Source organism: Homo sapiens, chromosome 1 (genome assembly GCF_000001405.40).
Source record: "Homo sapiens chromosome 1, GRCh38.p14 Primary Assembly".
In the NCBI taxonomy this organism is placed as follows: Eukaryota; Metazoa; Chordata; class Mammalia; order Primates; family Hominidae; genus Homo; species Homo sapiens.
The window spans coordinates 230,812,469-230,834,562 of NC_000001.11; the positions used below are offsets into that span (position 1 = coordinate 230,812,469).

General features: G+C 44.7%; 1 long non-coding RNA gene and 1 pseudogene across 1 annotated transcript; both read left to right on the plus strand.

The window, feature by feature from the left end:
• Positions 7,782-7,890, plus strand: RNA5SP79 (RNA, 5S ribosomal pseudogene 79; annotated as a pseudogene).
• LOC124904548 (uncharacterized) lies at positions 12,032-21,463 on the plus strand. The gene is made up of 2 exons (XR_007066939.1): positions 12,032-12,548; positions 20,568-21,463. It is a non-coding gene; the product is annotated as an uncharacterized LOC124904548 (long non-coding RNA).
• Positions 21,464-22,094: the final 631 nt, after the last annotated feature.

Here is a 22,094-nt window from a genome sequence, read left to right on the forward strand (position 1 = left end):
CCTAAGTCCTCTGACTAGGACTTCCCAGCACTGTGTTAAATAGAAGTGGTGATAACAGGTGTTCTTATCTTATTTCTGATATTAGGAGAAAAGTTTCAGCCTTTGACATGGAATATGAAGTTAGCCTTGAGTTTTTTTATATATGGCCTTTATCATGTTGAGGTAGCTTCTTCTATGTTTAGTTTGGTGGGTGTTTTTACTATGAAATAGTATTGAATTTTTTCAAATGGTTTTTCTGCATCAATTGCTATTATAATGTAGGTTGTATCTTCGTTCTATTTATATGGTGTGTTACATTGATTGGTTTTCGTATGTTGAACTATCCTTGCATTCCAGGAGTAGACCTCACTTGATCATGATATATAATCCTTTTGTTATGCTGCTAAATTCAGTTTTCTAGTATTGTGCTGAAGATTTTTACATCAATATTCATCAGAGATATGGGAGCATAGTTTTCTTTTAGTATCTTTATCTGGCTTTGTTACAAAGTTAATGCTTGCCTCATGAGTTAGGAAGTGTTCTCTCTTCAATTTTTTGAGGAGTTTGAGAGTGATTGATGCTAAGTCTTACTCAAATGTTTGGTAGAACTCACAAGAGATGACATCTGGTACTGGATTTTTTATTTGTTTCGTTATTGAGTCACTCTCCTCGTTGAGTAGAGGTCTGTTCAGATTTTCTACTTCCTCAAGAGTTAGTTTTGGTAGATTGTGTGTTTCTAGGCACTCATTTATTTTGTATAGGTGACATAAAATTGACTATAATCCCCCCTTTCATTTCTGATTTTAGTAAATTGAATCTTCTCTCTTTTTTCCCTTGGTCAGTCTAGCTAAAGGCTTGTCAATTTCATTGATGTTTTCAAAAAACTGCCTTTTGGCTTTGTTGTTTTTCTGTATTGTTTTTATATCTCTGTTTTGTTTATTAATGTCCTAATATTTATTATTTTATTCCTTCTGCTATCTTTGGATTTTGTTTTTCCCTTTTTTGGTTCCCTGAGGTGTATAGTTCAGTTATTGATTTGAAATCGTTCTTATTTTTTAATGTATGCATTTATAGCTCTAAATTTCCCTTATAGTGCTGCTTTCACTGCATCTCATCAGTTTTATTATGTTGTGTTTTTGTTTTCATTTACCTCAGTGTATTTTCCAATTTTTTTGAGATTATTTTTCTTTGTTATAGTATCTTTGATATAGAGTATACGTTTCTAGATTGACTGTTCTTTTTTCTCGCAATATTTTAAAGACATTGCTCCACTCTCTTTTAACTTACAATATTTTTTATGAGAAATCCATTGCCATCCTTATTTTTGTTCCTTTGTATATAATGGGTCTTTTTTTCTGGCTTCTTTTAAGAGTTTTACTTTATTCCTGGTAGTTAGCAATGTGATTATAATGTGCCTTTGTACTTTGTGTTTCTTGTGCTTGGTGTCCACTGAGTTTCTTGGATTTGTGAGTTTATAGTTTTCATGTTTTCATTAAATTTGGAAAATGCTCTGTCATTATTCATTCAAATATTTTTGTTCCCCTGCTTCTGCTTTCTGCTTTGGGCAATTTAATTACATGTATATTAGGCCACTTGAAGTTATTCCATAGCTAACATGCTCTCTTCATTTATTTTTCAGTCTTTTTTCCTTCTGTGTTTGATAGGCTAGTTTGTCTTCAGATTTACTAAATTTTATCTCTAATGTCTACTCCTCCATTAATCACATTTTCTGTATCTTTTATCTAAGCCCTTGTGGTTTTCATCTCTAGAAGTTCAATTTGGGTCTTTCAATCTCTTCCATTACTTTTTTCTTCTTCTTTTTCTTTTTCTTTTTCTTTTTCTTTTTTTTTTTTTTTTTTTTTTTTTTTTTTTTTTTTGAGATGGAGTCTCTCTCTATTGCCCAGGCTGGAGTGCAGTCAGCTCACTGCAACCTCTGCCTCCCAGGTTCAAGCAATTCTCCTGCCTCAGCCTCCCAAGTAGCTGAGATTACAGGCATGCACCACGCTTAGCTAATTTTTGTATTTTTAGTAGAGACAAGGTTTCAACATGTTGGCCAGGCTGGTCTCAATCTCCTGACCTCAGGTGATCCACCTGCCTCGGCCTCCCAAAGGGAGGGATTATAGGCATGAGCCACCACACAAGCCTATCTCTTCCATTTCTTAACTTAACACGTTCAATCTTTTTTCTAGCTTCTTGAACACATGGAATACAGTTGTAATAACCATTTTCATGTCTTTGTCTACTAAATATATTGTCTGTGTCAGTTCTGGGTCAGTTTCAACTGACTGATTTTCCCCTTCATTATGGGTTGTGTTTTCCTGCTTGTTTGCATGACTGGTGATTTGTGATTGAATGCCAGACAATGGTTGCTGGATATTTTGTATTCCTATAAATATCATCAAGCTTTGTTCAGGGACACAGTTATTTGAAATTAGTTTGATCCTTTTGAGCCTTGCTTTTAAGTTTTGTTAGGTGGGACCACAGCAGCATTTTAGTAGTTTTCATTTTCCCCACAACTGGACTCACCCGGAAAATTCAGAAATTCAGAAAATCTGCCTATTTTAAGGTCTATAACCTTAATTACATATCAAAATCCCTTTTTTCCAGATAACATAATGCACTCACAGTGGGATTAGGGCATGAATAATTTAGGGGGCCATTAGTAGGCCTTACACAGTTCACCCTCAGGCTCCCTCCCCCCTGTAATATTCATGTCTGTTCCATACACAAAAGAGAGTGGTGCTCCTGAGTTTGTACTGCTGCATGGTTGAAGGTGCCACAGAGATTGGAAATTGTCAAAAAGATACTACCTTTGTCCAGGATCCAAGAGTCTAGATCAATCTTACTTTTGCTCAGGTGTTACCCTGTTCTTGCTGGTGTTACAACTGCCAGAAACTACCCCACTGTCAAACCAGAAATAGAAGATTCTCTCTTCTTTCTGTGTTCTGATTTTCTCCCAGGCCCTCTCTCCTATTCACGGTACCTAACAGTAAGCCAGTTGGCAAAGTATCTGTAGTTTGCAGATACCTCACTTGGCAGTATGGATTATAGGAAGGTCACTGTGAGGCTAGATGAATTTGGCTGCACTTACCTCTCCTGCTGTCTTTGGTTCTGACCAGTGGAGTCAATGCACAAATAGCAATAGCCAGATGCTGAACAAAGAATCAGATGTATACATTACTGGGCAAACTCCTCCGAAGTGCTGCTTAAATCTGGATTGTGGAGAATGGGTTAGTCCTGAGGGCAATGTGGCAGCTCTGAAGAGAGTGCCTTTAGGCTGGCTCTACAAGGGTTAGAAAAACTGCAAACTGGCTTTTGCTGCAGCTATAGGAAGTTTCTACTGCTGCTGGGGTGGAGAATTCAGGGTGATGCTCATAGCAACAGTAAGTGGACAGAAGGCAGACAAGAAGGAGCAAGTCTCCTCTTCCTCCTCAAGCCTCTCAGTCTCCTTTTAAGCCTCTTACTGTCATGGCCTCACAAAGAGCAGCTATAAAACAGAAATGGGTTTTGCATAGAACCAGCCTCAGTGCTACAGTGCAGAGTATATGTGGGTGAGTGTGGAGCTGAGAGGTTAGCACCTAAGACTGACAAACTCTGTACCTAGGTGGTGCTGAAAGTGCATAGAACACATGCATGACCTCTCCATGTAGATACAGATCTGTGGAGTAGCTATTCACCCAGGGAAGAGAGAACTTGAGGCTGCAGGGAGGCCAGAATATCCTCTCTAGTATGTCTCCATGTGGGAAGAGAGTGTGTTAGTCCTTCTACCACTGAGCCAAGACAAAACCTTCCTTCCCTTGCACAATGGCACTGGGCCAAGTAATGGTGACAATTGCTGAGGACAGTGGTTACACAAAGACTTTTGGAATCTGAGAAAGCAAAGATGCAATTTGTGCCATGACTATAGGTTGTCTAGAGGTAACATGTAATGTGTTTTTAGTAAAAAGTTATTTCCCATAGAAAAGTATATATGCATGCAATTAATTGTAATGATGAAATTCTTGATACAACTCTTATAGGAAAGACCAGAGGTAATGCAAATTTTATACTTACACGCTGCACAGAATAAATCTTTCTAAAGAATATGTAATTCAGATTAATGAGTAGTCAATCACCTTAGCCATTTTTTCTAACTATAAAGTTTTTTTTCTCTAAATTAACTTCTGCATTTTTCCACAAAAATCAGAAGGTTCTTTTGGAACTGTACAACACAAAGAGTGAACTCAAATGTAAATGATGGATTTCAGTTGATAGTAATGTGTCAATATTGGTTCATCAATTGCAATAAATATACCACATCAGTGTTAATATGTGTGTGTGTGTGTGTGTGTGTGTGTGCGCGCGCTTGCATGAGTGTGTGTGTGTTAGTGATAGGAGAAACTGTGGAGGAAGAGAGGGGGAAAATGGGATATATGAGACCCGTCTCTGCTTGCTGTTCAATTTTTCTGTACAACTAAAACTGTAACTTTGTTCTGATTACTTTTAAATTGAAATCCATTTCCTTAAAAATCACTATCACTGTTTTCTCATGCCTTTGACTTCTTATCATGGCCCCTTGATCAGGACTGTCCAGAGAGCTCACGCCTCCCTTTGTTCATGAAGGTGGGCGTGTTCATCACTGGTGGGTGTGCTCATCACAGGGTGGTTTCTGAGACTGAGGAGCCATCAGCCTTCAAACTTCCTTTGCTTCAACCTCTAGCTTCAGTTGGCTGGTGGCTATTTTCACTTCAGCAAGAACTTCACTAGATTTGTAGATCTTTGGAAATCAAGACCAAGCTTGAGTAGAATATTTTTCCAGACATCTCTGAGGTTGAATTTGCAACCTCCTGCAAAGAGTTGTCAGTGTTCTCTGAATCCTGGGTTTTGAAAGCTTCCCGGTTTCATGTTTGTCTATGATTTTTACAACATGGTTCTGGAAGCTCTTGCAAACATAAATTTTTAAATGGACACAACTTTCGGACTTCCATGTTCATGTCTGCATTGTCCAGTTTTAGCAAGAACCCTGCTAAGTCAGTTTAACTAGATTGTCCACACTCAATATCTGATCGCCATCGATATCTGATCAGGTTCCTCGTCTTCCACCATTTGCCAGGTGATGTCTGATCACCCTGGCCTGCCTTCAGCAAGAATCCTGTTGGGTTGGTTTAGCCAGAATCCCCCTCAGCCCTAATGCTTCCTCTTACTAATTTTCCATCCAGTGACCTCTCCCTCCACTCTACTCCTTGGCTATAAATTCTCACTTTTCCTTGTTGTATTCAGAGTTGAGCCCAGTCTCTCTCCCCAGCTGCAGAACACCACTGCTGTGATCCTTACACCTATGTCGATGATCCTGAATAAAGTCTCCCTTACCATCTTTTTTTTCTTTTTCTTTTTCTTTTTTTTTTTTTTTTTTTTTTTTTGAGATGGAGTCTCGCTCTGTCGCCAGCTGGAGTGCAGTGGCGTAATCTCGGCTCACTGCAACCTCCTCCTCCCAGGTTCAAGTGATTCCCCTGCCTCAGCCTCCCAAGTAGCTGGGATTACAGGTTCGTGCCACCATGTCCAGCTAATTTTTGTATTTTTAGGAAAGACGGGGTTTCACCATGTTGGGCAGGATGGTCTCCATCTCTTCACCTTGCGATCTGCCCGCCTCGGCCTCCCAAAGTGCTGGGATTACAGGCATGAACCACCGCGCCTGGCCTCCTTCGCCATCTTTAATAAATGTCATGATTTTTGTTTATTTAACATTATTTTCTATTCCTGCCCCTCCCACCCTACACACGCTTACACCCCAGAGTCTCCCCTGTCTAACTATTTTTGGAAGAGGCAGTACAGGATCATCTGCCATACAGTCTCCCTCTCAGCCCCTGCTCCTAAGTCACAGGGCATTGATGTTCTAGACTAAAGTTTTTCTGAAATGAAACCACAGCCACACACTGCCCAATGTGTTTTTATTACCATAGTGTGGAAAGAAATATATAGAGATTCATTGAGGAGCATATAGGAACTGGAGAAACACATGGAATCACCATGCATGAAATCACTTCGAAGGAAGCTGCAAGACATTATGTGCCTATTAAATAATGGAAAATGGAATGTGCATTTTAAAAATAAGCCTTTCACCAAGACAAATGAGATCATCTTCTTGGAAAGAACTCAGCCAGGCATGGAAGAAATCCCACCATCCTTGTTCATGCCTTTGCATCTGAGGATGTGAAGAGGTCAGAGGCCAAGGCTTCTCACATGCATTCACCAGGGGTGTGGGGTTGATACTACTTTTGGTTCTCAGAGAGGATGAAAGAGAAGCACAGAGAATTTTGTTTCTCAAACTGCCTCTCTCACCCTCTTCTCGTGTCTGAAGTATCTAGACACTGCCCTTAATTGTGCCCGGGAACATGTGGCCCAGACAAATGAAAACCAATCAGTGCTTCATTTCCTCACTTTATAAATTCAGGAATTCTAATGTTGTCTTTGAAAGAAGGTAGAACAGGCGCAGAGAGAGGAATACTTACTCATGTCCATACAACCTTCTGGAGGAACAGTGGTGGGCCAGCCTAAAGCCCGATAGAAGAGAAAGAATGGTAGGAGCCATGAAAAGGAAGGATGAAGCAAAGATGGCTGATGTGACCATGGGACAGAGAGAGAAAACGGTCCCACTAACACAAGTGAGTAAACTGGAGGCAGGTGTGGTGGCACAAGCCTGTAACCCCAGCTACTCCGGAGGCTGGGAGGATCATGTGAGTCCAGGAGCTGAAGACCAGCCTGGGCAACATTGTGAGACCTTGTCTCAAAACCAAAAACAAAATCGGTCATTGTGACCAGGAGTATATTTCAGTTTGAGATTTGAGATCGTTGTGGAATATCAACATAAAAACATCCTGACAGAAAATTAGAGTGTGGGAGTGGATTCTTCGTGAGATTTTGGAGGTGGTGATTTGAATTTAAAAGGTGCCAATTCAGGTAAGTCATTTAAAAGCCAAGCTTTCATAAGAAAGCAAGTGTGAAAAGAGAACACCTAAAGGTATAGAGCCTTACAGAAGCCTGGCATTAGGACATAGAAAAATGAAGAATTTTTAAAAATAGTAATAAAAAAGTAACATGCAACTCCAAAAAAATGATAATAATAATAGTAAAATAAAGGAGATGTCAGAGACGTTATGAGATGTATCACGCAGCCCAGAGTTTTGTTGGCATGGGCTAGAGAGAGATTTGAACTCTGGCCTGTTTGAATCTGAAGTCCATGCTTTTCCCACCACTACTTCTAAAACAAAAACACATCCCCTCAACCCAAACCCTCCCTCTTCTTGGGCTCCAAAGGCTTCCAGAAGTGCAGTTACCTTCTAGGTCTTCAGAAAAGGAGTTTGATTCAAGGCTACAGAGAGGAGATGGAGAGGGCCGATAGCTAAGACCCAGAGAGAAGCCAACTCTGCAGTGGAGTGAAGCAGATACCCTGGCCTAGAGCCACACCACTGAAAGGTGGTGCAACCTGGGTCTCTCTGAGACTGAAGGCCAAGTTCTATCCATGGTCCTATACTGCTGGGAAGAGAATGTTCTGAAGAAGAGATACCTGCTTGTTACTGAAAAGTCAGAGAGGCTTCAGATGCTGATGAATGGCTTGAATGTGCCCAAAGGTTAACAGTGGCTTTCAAAAGTACAGATATGGACGGGTAAGGTTGCAGGGGAGAACAGCTGTTATAAATGGCTCCATCAAGCATCTTGACCACAGGGACCATGAGCTTGGTCTATTGGGGGCTAAATGGGCCCTGGAATGAGGCAAGGCATTTGATTACAGAGGCACAAAGACAGCTGTTTAAAAGTGGAGCACAGTCTACGGCCATACCACCTTGAATGCACCTGATCTTGTCAGCTACGCAGGGTCTGGCCTGGTTAGTACTAGGGTGGGAGACCACATGGGAATACCGGATGCTGCAGGCTTTAAAAAAATGCATAATGAGCTCCTTGAGACTGAGTTTAAGATGAGAGGAAACATTCAATTAAATCCACTACCACTGAGGGTCTCCTATGAGCCAGGCACGGTGATAAATTAAATGCTGGAGACACAGCCATGAGTTTGATGCAGTTCCTGCTACTAGGAGCTGCAGCATGGTGGAGGTGGAATGAGGCAGCTGCAGGAACAGACCTCTGTCATAGAGGAGTGAGTGCTCCTGGTGCCATCTGTGGCAGATTGATTGCATGTGGCCCTACCCTTCTCCTGGCCTGTGCCATAGTCCCTGTCCTATCACTTTGGAGTGCCTCCCCTCTGACTCTGGGACCAGCCTTGGGATTTGCTTTGTGTCGGCCAATGGGACACAACTGGAGGATTGAAAAAGCTCGTTCTCGTTCTCAACCACTTCCATGAGAACACAGCAGTCTAACTTGACCAGAGTACAAGAGGGACACACAGTTCATTCACCCTGATAGCCCTGTGCCAGCTGATTGCAGACACATGACCGAGTCTGAGTCCAGAACAGTTCTGCTGAGACCCCCAATCCTTGGCCCATGGACCTAGGAGCTAAATAGATGCCTATTGTTCTAAGCCATGGAATTCTGATGTTGTTTTGAGGCAGGGTTGTGTGGCAATAGATAACTGATACACTATTTGAAGAGAAGGGAGCATTGTTTCAGTTTACTTTGGGGTGTTGGGGATGACAAAAAAAAGAGTAAAAAAACAAAAGAGAAGGGATTCAAGGCTACACAGGGAAGAACCTGGGGCAGCAGAGCCCCCATACATTTGCATAAATAAGGAAAAGAGTACATAGCATGTAAGGCAGGGCAGGAGGTAAAGTAGGGGAGCTCAGGCATGAGGCTGGCAGGCAGGTGGCTTTTTGGGGTTAATGGGGAGAAGCCATCCTCATGGATGGGAGAGAGAAGCTGAAGAGGCTGCATGGAGGACCAGATTTGAACAGATAGCACTGTGTCCAAAGGTGGCCCCAATAAAGCAGCTGTTGTTCTTGGAGCCAGGCCTTTCTCCTGCTTCCTGTGTGACCCTCCCAAGAGCCCAAGAGTCGGAAGCATCATCACACCCACGTTGCAGATGAAGAAAGTGTACCATGAGAAGCAAGGCAGCTTGCCCAAGTCACCCAGTGCAGGCATGACAGAGAGCACCAGAGCAGGAGAGGAGGGCCCAGGCCGGTCTGGAGCATCCATTTCTAGAGGAAAGGTGAGAGGAAAGTCCTAGAGAGGGGATGCTGAGGGTGGTATGGGGGCTTAGGAAGGACACGAGTGACCACCTGCCATGGAAAGTGAGGCTAGGCTTTCCTAAGAAACAGATCAGGGCCACACCTCTCTCCAGCTCTGCTCAGCAGCCAGGAGGCAGGAGCAGGCGGACAGTAGGAGAGTCAGGGTGTGAAATATTCACACTAAGCTTTAGCAGGAGACCCCGGCAGCCAAGGGATTTCAGATGGGAGGAAAGACATAGATGGGGAAGAAAAGAAACCAGGAAATCCAGGAGAGGATGGAGGGCCTGGCAATTGAAAGAAGGTGGACCAAGGGTCTCAGAAGAGCCAAGTGGGTGTGGGGGAGGGGATGAAGTCTTGAACAAGGAGGATGTGGGCAGAGGGGACTTCTGCACCACGGGACGCTTATAAGGCCCCTGCCCACTACCTATACTGTCCAAGTCACAGGAGGCTTGTCATGGCAAACTGTACAGCTGTCTACAAATACCAGGGATAATGACTCCCCAGCATCCCACTCCTGGGACCAGGTGACGGCAGGCATCAAGACACTGGCAATTTGTCTTTTCAAGATCGTTGCAAGATCTTTTGCAATGATGGAAATGGGAAAATCCATCCAAGACATAATTACGTCCATGTGGTGGAAAAGCACTCATTCCATTTATTTTCCTCTGAAACTTGACTCCTCCTTCCGTGACTCGGCCAGGGCCAAGCCAGCCGGATGGAAAAGCCAGTGTCAGTGATGTGGAGGTCGTTCATGGCACAGGGCTTAGGGGCCTGGATGTTCTGGGAAAACCCTGCTCGTTCATCTCGTCCAGGGAAAATATTGCCTCTGTCCACAGGAAGAGCTGGGTTCCGGCAGCTGGGGAGGCCACTTGCAGCTGACAGGGTATTAACTCTGACGCCTTTGGGTGGGAAAATAAAACTTCCCACCTCTCCTGCCAAATGAATATTTAAATTGGGGCCAGGCGTGGTGGCCGGGCACTGTGGCTCACCCCTGTAATCCCAATACTTTGGGACACCGAGGCAGGTGAATCACTTGAGGTCAGGAGTTCAGTTAGAGACCAGCCTGGCCAACATGGTGAAACCCCATCTCTACTAAAAATACAAAATTAGCCAGGCGTAGTGGTGCGGGCCTGCAATCCCAGCTACTCAGGAGGCTGAGGCAGGAGAATCACTTGAACCCAGGACCCAGAAGTTGCAGTGAGCCGAGATCGCCCTACCGCACTACAGCCTGGGCAAAAAGAGTAAGTCTCCATCTCTAAATAAATAAGCAGGCCTTTTTTAAAAGAGGGGAGAAGAGGCCCGGAAGAAGCAAAGTATATACCAAAAAATGAGCTGTCCAAGAGCGTGAACCCTTCGGAGCAGCAGAAGCCGTGGCAGTGGTGCAGTCCAGCCCGGTGGACCGAGGACGGATTTGGCCTGGATTTCCAGAAATAGCCTATAGTGAGGTCTGCCCACAGGGACCTTTATCTCAGGAAAAGCCGGGGGACCACATGCTTCAGCTCCCCTGCCTCTGGAGATTTAAGCATTTCTTTTTCTATCTCCATATCCTGGTGGCTGACTTGGTAGCCTGGTCAGGGTTTTCCCCCGAAAAGGTTGGAGGTGCCTGGGGCAAGAGGGCAAGAAGTCAAAGGGTTCCATCACCAGAGATTTGTTGCCTACCTCGCCCAGTTCATTTGACTGAATTCCCCAGGACCCAAACTGCCCATTTATGAATTTCTGACCTGACCTAAAGACAATAAGGTATCGGAGAGAAAGCTGACAAAACTGTCTCTGTGTATCCAGAAGACAGATAGTGTCATGGGCTGTGAAAGGTCACAGGTGGTGTCTTTTTCCTCCAGCAAATGGGCCCTGAGGCTCAGGCAGCCACCACCCCTGATGTGGTGCCAAAGTCGGACCAGATGCCCCAGTAACGGGATGCTGGAGATGTTGAGCCAGCTAGCATCCATCCTCGGAGACACCCAGAGCCTCTGGACAGCGAGCCAAAGGAAACGATTCTAACAGAGCATCTGCCTCCAATTACTCAGGAAGAGCACAGCACTTTGGAGAACACATTTTCTTCCACAAGCCAGGGAGGAAACACATGTGGGATCCAACAGGAACCCCATCCTGGCTTCCCCTCTCAGTCACACTGCCAGGTGCAGGGCGGGATGAGGACACATGGCTTTGCCTCTGCAGCATAGAGACCCACAGAGGGGACTGCCAGGAGCACCATTTAGAACTCCAGAAGGCTTGCGACGCTCAGAATCTCAGCAGTCCCTCTGTGGAGTGGTTCTTATTTTTCTGAATCAGGGACCCCTTTGAGAATCTGGTGAAAAAAAGTTATGAGACTGTTCCTCCAGAACATGCACAGACACAGAAGCACATGTGTGTCATTTCAGAGCGTGGGCAGACTCCCTGACTGCCTGTGGACTGCAGGTTAGTTCCTGTCTCCTCTGTCTCCCTGGAGCAGGTGACACATGGCTAATAGTGTTCAGAGCAGGACTGGACTTCAGAACTCCAAACCCAGAGCCTTTTTATCTCTCTCCCACGGCCTCCATCTGCCTGACAGATTTCAGAGCCTTTGGAGAGCCTTGGAGAATGGAAACTTCCCTGTGTTGATTCTAACCTGGACTTCATCCAACCCTGAATCAATAACCCCAGTGAGGCCCCCTGCCCCCCCCTCACACTTTTAAGACTTGCATTCATGGCTTGAAGTCCCATGCCCCTGGGAGGGTGGCTCAGGGTCAGCCAGGTATTGGATGCCAACAGACTTGTCTAGGAACTGCTGCCTCCACGAAGGCACTGAGCTTGGAGACAGAGCAGCAGGTCTCATCCTCAAGGTCTCATCTCCACCAGGCCACAGGGTCCCAAAAAAGTCACATAGTAAACAGAAGGGGTATTTTTCAGGCCCAAATTATAGCCTGAACTAAACTAATGAAACCGGCTTATTAGGTCAACTGTATTCACTGGGGGAATAATGTTCTTTTTTCTCCAACTATACTACCTATGAAATTCCTCTTCCCTTCTTTGGACAATATCTCCACCATTCCCTAAGGCCTTCTTCTTAAGGGCAATGACTCACCTTCTGGCACTAAATGTCCAGCTCAGGCCCAGCTAGCTTCTGGGTGTCCAGTTTGCACTCCAGGCGGTGGACGGGCCAGGGGCTCCCACCATGGTCTCTCTTGCTGCCCTGCCATGGAGACAGCCCCAGATAGCCCCCCACATCATAAGGGGTTTTCAAGGATGTGCAGAGGGAGGACATACATTGCCAGAGCCACCTGGAAGCGGTGAAGCCAGCAGAAGTGATGCCTACCAGGTGCCAGACGCTGCTCCAGAGACCAGACATTCTGCAAGCCTGCCAGAGCCTTGACTCTCAAGGAGCTCGTAGTCTAATGGACATGCGAGTGAAGGATGCTTTCATCTGGCAGCAAGAAGGTGAATGTGCTTTGTAAAATGACTCAATTATTAAGATCATAGAGAGCAGAGACGGTTATATATGTCGATTTTTATTACAGTTTAATCTAGAAAATCTAAAAATAGCTACATGAGTCACCAGTCAGGAGATGTGTTTCAGGGTAGATGGCAGTTTGCTGAGCAAAGAACCAGGAGGCTATGGGGAGAAAGGACATGTTGTAACCCTAGTGCCTGGAGGGCACTAAACCTCTATCCCTGCTTCTGATTCGCATTTGCTACATGAGACAGACACTGATACAACAAAACTGTAAGCAACTCTCCAAGCTATAGGATGCAGCTGTCACCGAGTTTCAGGGGAAGGAAAGGGCACCAGAGTTTGCTTTCGGGCTGCTTTGATAATGAGTTCCCTGATAATGACAAACAACACAGGTTAGGTTTCTGCTCTGTGCCAGTCTCTGTTGACTGTGCTTGGCAGTGTTATTCCTTTTGTCCTCATACCAACCGTATGACATAAAACTATTGTTTTACTCATATTACAGATGAGGAACTTGGGAAAGAGAAAAGTTAAGTAACATGTCTTATGTGACTTACTAATAAGAAGGCACTTAGAAACGGAAACTCTTTCCTAGGGGTAATTGAAGCAATTTGTAATTGTGCCCCTGACGGGACATAACCAATGGGTAGGGGAGGATTTTCGTGAGTGGTCCAGTTCTAGAAAGCAGGTCTTTCATGTAATAGCACATTTTCCTAAATGGCATTACAAAAGTGGCTGTGGCTAGAATCCCAAGGGATTTGGGATTCTGGCAATGAGGAGAAGTGGAGAGAAACTGTCCAAAGTGCAGGCTATTTATTGATCACAGAAACCCTGCGTCAGTGCTGACTGAGTCTGGGATGCAGGCTGATGCAAGGAGAGTGAGTGATTCTGGGAGAAATCAGCTGTTCTGCCTGCCTCCCATGGGGCCCTAAAACTGCACCGTCTGCCTCAGTGCACTACCAGTGCAAGAGCCCCTGTTGGAGGAGGGAGGGCAAAGGCCCTGGGGAGAGCAGAGCTGGATATGCAAGGGCTGGAAGACAGAAACCAGTGTACGCAGGGCTGGTCTGCCAGAAGCAACATTGGGCACCTGCTTCTCCAGCTGCCCAAGGCCAGGAGGGCTTCTCAACCACTGTCCTCATCCACTACCCCTGCTCTGGTGCTGCCAGGCACAGAATGCACCTGGAGGAAGAGCTGAGTAGAACGAGAGCTGGAGGGTGGGAGCTGCGTGTTGGAGGGAAGTTGAGTATGACTTAGGTCCAGGCACTCGACACCCCCTCTATGGAGTCAGCCCTCGGGGAGTCAGAAAAACAGAGGTAGCCAATCCCACTGCAGGGAGCTGGCAGAGTCAGGTGGCATGCAGGAGGAAGCAGGAGAAAGAGCACAGCAAGAGGGGCCTGGAAATGGGAGCAAAGTCATCAAAGGCACGGCACCCTCTTCAGTGGACGGGCATGGCCTCAGAGGTGGTGGCAAGGAAGGAGGACAGGAGTCTGGCTAGCTGTGTAGAAGCCTTTTGGGGCACCGGGACAGGGAGCCACCTTCTGCCCCCTCACCTCCAGCTTCCCCCGATTCATTGTGCAACTGCTGATAAAATAATGGCTGTCATTGATGGCATGCTTATTGCGTGCCAGGCATTATGTTAACAGCTGTTTTATTCAATCCTCTCAGCAACCCTGTGAGGTTGAGAGAGATAATAGAATCCATCACATCACATGGCTGGGAAGGAATCTCAGTCTGTGCAACTCAAAGTCCATTCTTAATCCCCAACCCTCCTGCACACCCTCACCTGAAGCTCCCCAAGCCAAGACTAGAGGTGCTATCCAGGAGGGTCCCACAAGCAACTGAAGATCTGAGACCCCTGTGTTCTTAATCTTGTGCTCCAGAAGGAATGAGAGCTGAGTGTGGAGGAGGCATACACCGTGCCAAGGCCCCTGGAGCTCAGATCTAAGATTCAAGATGTGTAGGGCCCAGGCACTCTTTGGTCACTGAGGCTGGGTCACCCCTCCTGCCACTCCCTGCGTCTTCCCCATCCACGGCCCCACTCCTACCCCAACTGTGAGCAGTCAGTGATGCTCTTTTAGAAACCACACTACACAGAATGTGGCTGTTTTCTGGATGGCTTCAACCTGCTATCCAACAACAATCAAACCCACATCACGCTCTGGCAAGGCCACGTGGTCCTCCAGGCCCTGAAACTGGCACAGTCAGCGGCCAGCACTGCCATTAGACATGGGAGAAGCTGAGTACAGCATAAGGCCTGAACCTACCACAGGGAAGTCATCTCACCCAGGAAAAGGACTTCTGACCCCCAAAGCAGAGAATGTGCCCAACCTATCTGTGGTTAGGAGACAACTCATTCATTGAATAAGAACTCATTCATTGAACTCATTCATGTGAAAGTCACGGCCACTCATCTGTGCACCATGTCTCTGAAGAGGCCCCTGGATCTGGGCAGCAGCCAGCCTGTCCACCCCCTCCCCACGGGCTGCTCTCGGCCAGCTGTTCCGTCTCTCCTCCTGTGTACAGCCCTGCCTTTTCACCTCACTGGCCTTGCCCCTCTGGCCCTGGGATGCTGCTCTTGGCTCTGCAGCTGTTTGGCTGGATGCCTCTGAATAGAACATTCAGCCTCTATGTTCTTCTATTTCTTCAACTGGAAAACAGAGAGAAATATGGTCATCATTTTTTTTCAAGGGGTAAAGGAGTCATTGGAAGGAATAGCCTGGTAAAGATTCAAAACCCATCGGCTATTTGGAAGAAAAGTTGCTGCATAAATAAGCTGCTTGACCCAAGGCCCATTTTGTACGCTTCTTTGAGGTCAATCTTGTTTATTTTCCTGGCTCACAATCCCCAAAGGTTGGGGTGGGCCAAAAGGCAAACCTGCCCTTTGCAGGGGCCTCTCCTGTCAAATTAATCTGATGACTTGATGGAGCAGTGGGTGGAAGAGAACATGGCCCCGTAAGGTTAGCGGTGGAATCCCTGCTGGAGAGAAATGACGCTGGCCCAGGGGGGATGTGCCTTGTGCCCAGCCTGGACAGGCCAGTTCACTTCTCGGGGCATAGGCTCTCCCTTCCTCCTCATGAGAATAAGAACACCAACTCTACTCCCTGACAGTCTCCTAACTTGGTCTCCTGAGAACTCAGTGAGGCTGGCAGGGAAGGGATGATTATATCTGTGTTACAGAGAAGAAAACAGACCTATTCAAAGTCACAGAAATAAGTGGGGACAAGACCTTAGTCTTCTGCCTACGTGACTCATTTTCATACAATACATACCTTAACCCTAACATAGAGCCGTGATACAAGTCAAATGAAAGAATGTACAGAAGGCCTTCCGAAAGGGGGTGAAGCTCTGTGCAGTGCTGTCCAGCAAAAATAAATGCAAGTCACATAATGTGATTTTTGTCACTTATGTGCAACCACATTTAAAGTGTAAAAAGAAACAAATGGCAGGGCGTACCTCCTGCCAAGCTACTCCTAAGCTAGGGCAGCTAGGAGGATCCACAAGGCCTACTCGAAGGAGCTGGAGAACTGCTCAGGGACAAAGAACAAGAACAATGGAAGCAACTCGAACACTTTCACTGCCCAGGGGTCTTCCACCTTTATTTATGTCTTTTCACCAGAACCTTAATTGGATGCAAACCCTCAATGTAGGAAACAAATGAACCCAGAGCTCTCCAGTGGAAGGGCTCAGACCAGCCAACAGGCCTCTCCAAGCTGTCCCCCGAAGCTCCCACTAGAAATTTTAAGTGTTTTTCTTATAGACATCAAATAGTAGGGCTTTCAAAAAATTATTTATTTATTTATTTATTTTTATTTTTTTGACAGAGTCTTGCTCTGACACCCAGGCTGTAGTGCAGCGGCACAATCTCGGCTCACTGCAACCTCCGCCTCCTGGGTAAAAGCAATTCTCCTGCCTCAGCCTCCCCAGTAGCTGGGATTACATGCGTGCACCACCACACCTGGCTAATTTTTGTATTTTTAGTAGAGACAGGGTTTCACCATGTTGGCCAGGCTGGTCTCGAACTCCTGACCTCGTGATCCACCCACCTTGGCCTCCCAAAGTGTTGGGATTATAGGCTTGAGCCACCGTGCTCAGCTTTTCATCCTGACAATTTCTGCTTTTTAATTGGAGTGTTTAGGCTATTTGCATCTGATGTAATTATTGATATGCAGTAGTTACGCATAAAGCTATTAGCTTGCTGTTTGCTTTACACTTGTCCCATTTCTTCTTTGTTTCTATTTTTCCTTTCTTCCTGTTCTCTTGTTGATTAAATTTTAGCTTACATTTTATTTTCACAACGGACTTATTACCTAGATGTCTTTGCTATGATTTTAATAGTTGCTGTACAGTTAATAATTCATATGTTTAACTTGTAACAGTCTGACTTTAAATAATAATAATACCACTTCATGGATAAAATCTTTCAAACAATATACTTCCACTTTGCCCCCACATCTTTGTAATATTCTCATACATTTTACTTCTACAGATGCTATGCATCGGATTTGGATTTTGTCAAAGTCTGACCCCTTCAGCTAGAGAGCTCTAGTTTGATCTCTTTCCAACACATGGTATGGACACCATGAAACATTGTTATTATTTTTGCTTTAAACAGTTGATTATCTTACTAAACATCTTAAAATCCGAAAAAAAGGCTTTTATATTTACCCACATATTTATCGTTTTTTCAGTCTACCTTCCTTTGTGGATACCCAACCTTCTGTGTAGTATTATTTTCATTTTGCCTAAAGAACTTCCTTTAATTTTTTTTTTTTTTTTGTAATTCAGGTCAGCTGGTGACAAGTTTTCTCAGCTTTTGTGTATCTAAAGTTTCTATTTTACCTTCAATTTTTGTTGTTGTTTTTGTTTTAGAGAGGGAGTCTCTCTATGTTGCCTGGCTGGAGTCCAGTAGCTATTCACAGGAGCGATCATAGCACACTACAGCCTCTAGCTCCTGACCTCAAGTGACCTCCCATCTTAGCCTCCCAAGTAGCTGGGGCTACAGGTATGCACCACCGTGCCTAGCTTGCTTTCAGTTTTGAATGATATTTTTTGTTGGACATTAAATTCTAGGTGGGCATTTCTATTTTCCTTTTCAGCACTTTAAAAATGTTCCAGGCCAGGCACCGTAGCTCATGCCTGTAACCCCAGCACTTTGGGAGGCTGAGGTGGGAGATTGCTTGAGCCAAGGCGTTTGAGACCAGCCTGGGCAACATGGTGAAACCCCATCTCAAAAAAAAAAAAAAAGAAAGAAAAGAAAATTCGCCAGGCATGGTGGTTTGTACCTGTAGTCCCAGCTACTTAGGATGTTGAGGTGGGAGGATCACCTAAGTCCAGGGAGGTCAAAGCTACAGTGAGCCATGATCACACCACTGCACATCAGCCTGGGTGACAGAGTGAAATGTTTCACTTACTTCAAGCTTGTATATTTGGGGATGAAACATCTGTAGTCATTTTTGTATTTTTTTTTTCCTTCTCTGTATTTCATGTCTTTTTTTTCTTTAGCTATTCTATAGATTTTCTTTATTATTGATTTTCAGTCATTTGTGGAATTCTCTGGTGTGGGGTGTGTGTGTGTGTGTGTGTGTGTGTGTGTGTGTGTGTGTGTGTGTGTGTGTGTGTGTGTGTGTGTTTTACCCTACCTCAGGTTCATTGAACTTCATCTGTAAGTTTATAATTTTATCACATTTTGAAAATGTTTGGCCATTATTTCTTCAAATTTTTTGATCCCTTCCTCTCTCTCTTTTCTTTCTGGGACTCTCGTTACTCATACATTAGATCTTATAACATTTCCCCACATGACAATGAGGCTTTATTCCTTTTTTTCCCAATCTTTTTGTTTCTTTCCTTCACTTTGGACAGATTCTACTGCTATGTCTTTTAGTTCAATAATTTCTGCAGTGTGTCATCTAATTTTAATCTGATACAGGAAATTTTTATTTTATATATTGTTTTGTCCTTTTAGCTTCCATTACCCTCTTCATCATCTTCACATTTTACTTCACATCCTTGAGCATTTGCATAATGTTTATCACAGTTGTTTTAATCTCCTGTGTGCTAATTCCATCATCTCTGTCACTTCTGGGTTGGTCTATCGGCTGATTTTTCTCCTGTGTATGAGTCACATTTTCTTGCTTAGTAAGTAATTTTTGATTGGTTGTTGAACATTGTGAATTTAATGTTGTTTAGTGCTAGATTTTGTGATTTTTTTTTTGGCGGGGGGACAGAGTCTTACTCTGTTGCCCAGGCTGGAGTGCAGTGGCACGATCTCGGCTCACTGCAACCTCCACCTCCTGGGTTCAAGCAATTATCCTGCCTCAGCCTCCCTATTAGCTGGGATTACATGCGCCCACCACCATGCCCAGCTAATATTTGTCTGTATTTTAGTAGAGACAGGATTTCACCGTGTTGGTAAGGCTGGTCTCAAACTCCTGACCTGAAACAATCCACCCGCCTTGGCCTCCCAAAGTGCTGGGATTACAGGCGTGAGCCACCGTGCCCGGCCCTTTGTGACATTTTTATAGCGTTGGGCCTATTCTGGTAGCAGCTACGTCATTTATGAGTCGGTTTGATCCTTTCATGCCTTGTTTTAAAATTGTTTGAGGGCAGACCTAGACTACTCTTTATTCTAAGGCAAAGTTAACCCCACTTCTAATGCATGGCCCTTCTAGCGTCTCTGGTGAGAGCCCCACATATGCAACCTGGTTTGCACTGTGGCTGGAGGAAAGTTGAGTGATTCTTGGCCTCATGTAAACTCTGGGAATTATTCATTTTTGTAGCTCCCTGATAACTGCTGTTTCTTTGGAAGTTGATCTTGTCCAGACACTAAAGTTTCACACATGTACAGACTGGTCTTTGGCCAAAGATTTAAGGCAATCTCTATGCAGATTTCTGGAAACCTTCCTTTCTGGAACTCTGCCCTGTCAGTTCTAGTCCCTTTGGCCTCCCCAACTTCAAACTCATCCTCCTTAGCAAAGCAAAACTGCCAGGCTCTATCTGTACTTCTCCCCCACCTCTGTGCTATAGTCCAGAAATTACTGCCAACACTCTCAAGGAGACTCCAATGCATATTTCTGGAGCTCTTTCTCTGCACAGTTCCCTCATGCAAATTCCAGCCTTTTTGTCTCCAAACTCGTTCTCCTCAGCTCGGAGAAACTTGCGTGCTGTGCTTAGAATCCCCACCTCCTACAACACAATCTAGAAAATGCCTCAAGCCAGAAAGCCATGATAATCATAAAGCTTAACTCATTCATGTCCTCTCTCCCAAGGGTCACAGTTCTACATTGCCTGTTGTCCAAAGTCTATAAACAGTTGTTTCACATACTTTGTACACTCTTCTAGCTGTTTATAACAAGAAGGTAAGCCTTGTCCCAGTTGCCCTATCATTGCCAGAAGCAGAAATCCTCTTTTAAGAACTTTCAACTATAAAATTGTTTGTGTAGTCGTATATTTAGTCTGTCTCCTGCACTAGAATATAAGCCCCATGAGGGTAGCAGCTATGTCTGTATTATACAGTGCTGAATCCCCAGTGCCCAGCACCAGGCTGCAACACAGTAAGAACTATGAAGAAAAAATACATTACAATATTATAGCTCTGGGGCTGAATGTTGGCATGAATCAGGGAAGGAGAACAAAATGAGGGGGTGGAGGGAGGGGAACAGAGAGCATGACACAGAGAACTGCCAGGGCCCATGTGGTTTCCGGATTTGCATTTGGATCTCATTTCCAATCTGGGCTGTCCCTGTAAGATACATGCCTTCCACTTGGACTTGACTATTTTCATAATAAAAGATTGGAAGTAAATATGCTTTAAAATGCTGGTATTGTGTTAAAGCACTTGACTATATTTTCCCCAACACTTTCTGTGATGTAGTTAGGAAACTTAAAATAATTTTAGAAATCCTCACACATTATTGTCTATGATTTTATTGCATGACAAACTTCGTTGGAGTAAACTTCAGGTTGCTGAAGCCATTGGCCAATTGATGAAATCATTTCTTCCTTTGCAGAGCGCCCTCCCCAACCTCACACAGCCTGTGTGACTTCTGTCTCCAAGGAATAGGGCACCAGGTGTCCCTAATTCCTACTCTCACTCTCCTCCCAACCTGCGCGTTCACCCACTTGCATTGATCCAGAAGGTTTATACATGTCAGCTGATGAACTATAGAGTCACACAACTATCGAGAGTGACACCAACTGCAGCCAAACAACCAAGTCACAAAACGTTGAATCGATGTCGGCCAAGGACCACCTCTGATCTAAGAAGCCAGCTAAATAAATGAGACTCCTGTCTGATATGAGAGCTCAGTAACAGACTTAGGTGACGCACAATATCAAATTTCTTTGCAAGTGGGCGCCTACTGGCACGTGATTACCATTGGTCCACTGAAGACTCCTCTGTTATATTTCTTTCCTGTCACCTTTATTTCCACCCCTATTCCTTCCATAGGCTACCATTCTATTCTGTTAAATATACCTTATTTGCATATATTTAAAATTACGCAAGTGGTGTTGTTATATATACTATGATTTTAATGTTCCCCCCCGCCAAAACTCATGCTGAAATTTAATCCCCAGTGTGGCTATATTGAGAGGCGAGGCCTTTAAAGGGTGATTGGATCATGAGGGCACTGTCCTTATGGTGGATTAATCTCATGGATTAACAGATTAATGGATTAATTTAATGAGTTACCATGGGAGTGGGACTCATGGCTTTATAAGAAGAGGAAGAGACCTGAGCTAGCACAGTAGCACACTCAGTCCCCTCACAATGTGATAGCCTGCACCACCTTGAGACTCTCAGAGTCCCCACCAGCAAGAAGGCCCTCACCAGATGCAGCCCCTCAACCTTGTACCTCACAGCCTCCATATCTGTATGAAATAAATACCTTTCTTTTATAAATTACCCCATTTCAGCTCTTCTGTTATAAACAACAGAAAAGGGACTAAGACAATATTCCATTTTGTGTTTTCCTTTTTCCAATAATATGCTTGTCCAGATCCATCCATATTTCTGTGTATACATCTAATTCATTGCTGTTCATTGCTACATAATACTCCATGGTGTGGCTGCACCTAGCCCTCCTTCCAATGATAGACATCCAGCTTGCTTCCAACTCCCACAAACAAACAGCACTGTAGTGAACAGCCCTGTACAATGAACAGGTCCCTTAAGTAGCTGTGTGAGAACTTCTAAGGGATATATATATATATATGCTGGAGGGAAATTATGGGGTCACAGGATATACGTATAAATAATTTGGCAAAATAGTACCAGATTACTCTTGACACGTTGGCTGCACAGTTCCTCCACCTCAGGATTTCTCAGCCTTGACCCTGTTACCCTTTGGAGCTGGATAATTCTTGACTGAGGGGAAGTACCTTGTGCACTGTAGGACGTTTAGCAGCATGCCTGGCCTCTATCCACCAAATGCCAGTAGCACCTCCCTCCCCAGTTGTAACAGTAAAAAATGTCCCCTGACACTGCCAAATATCCCCTGGGGTGGGGGGAGTCTCTGCAGCTGAGAACCACTGCT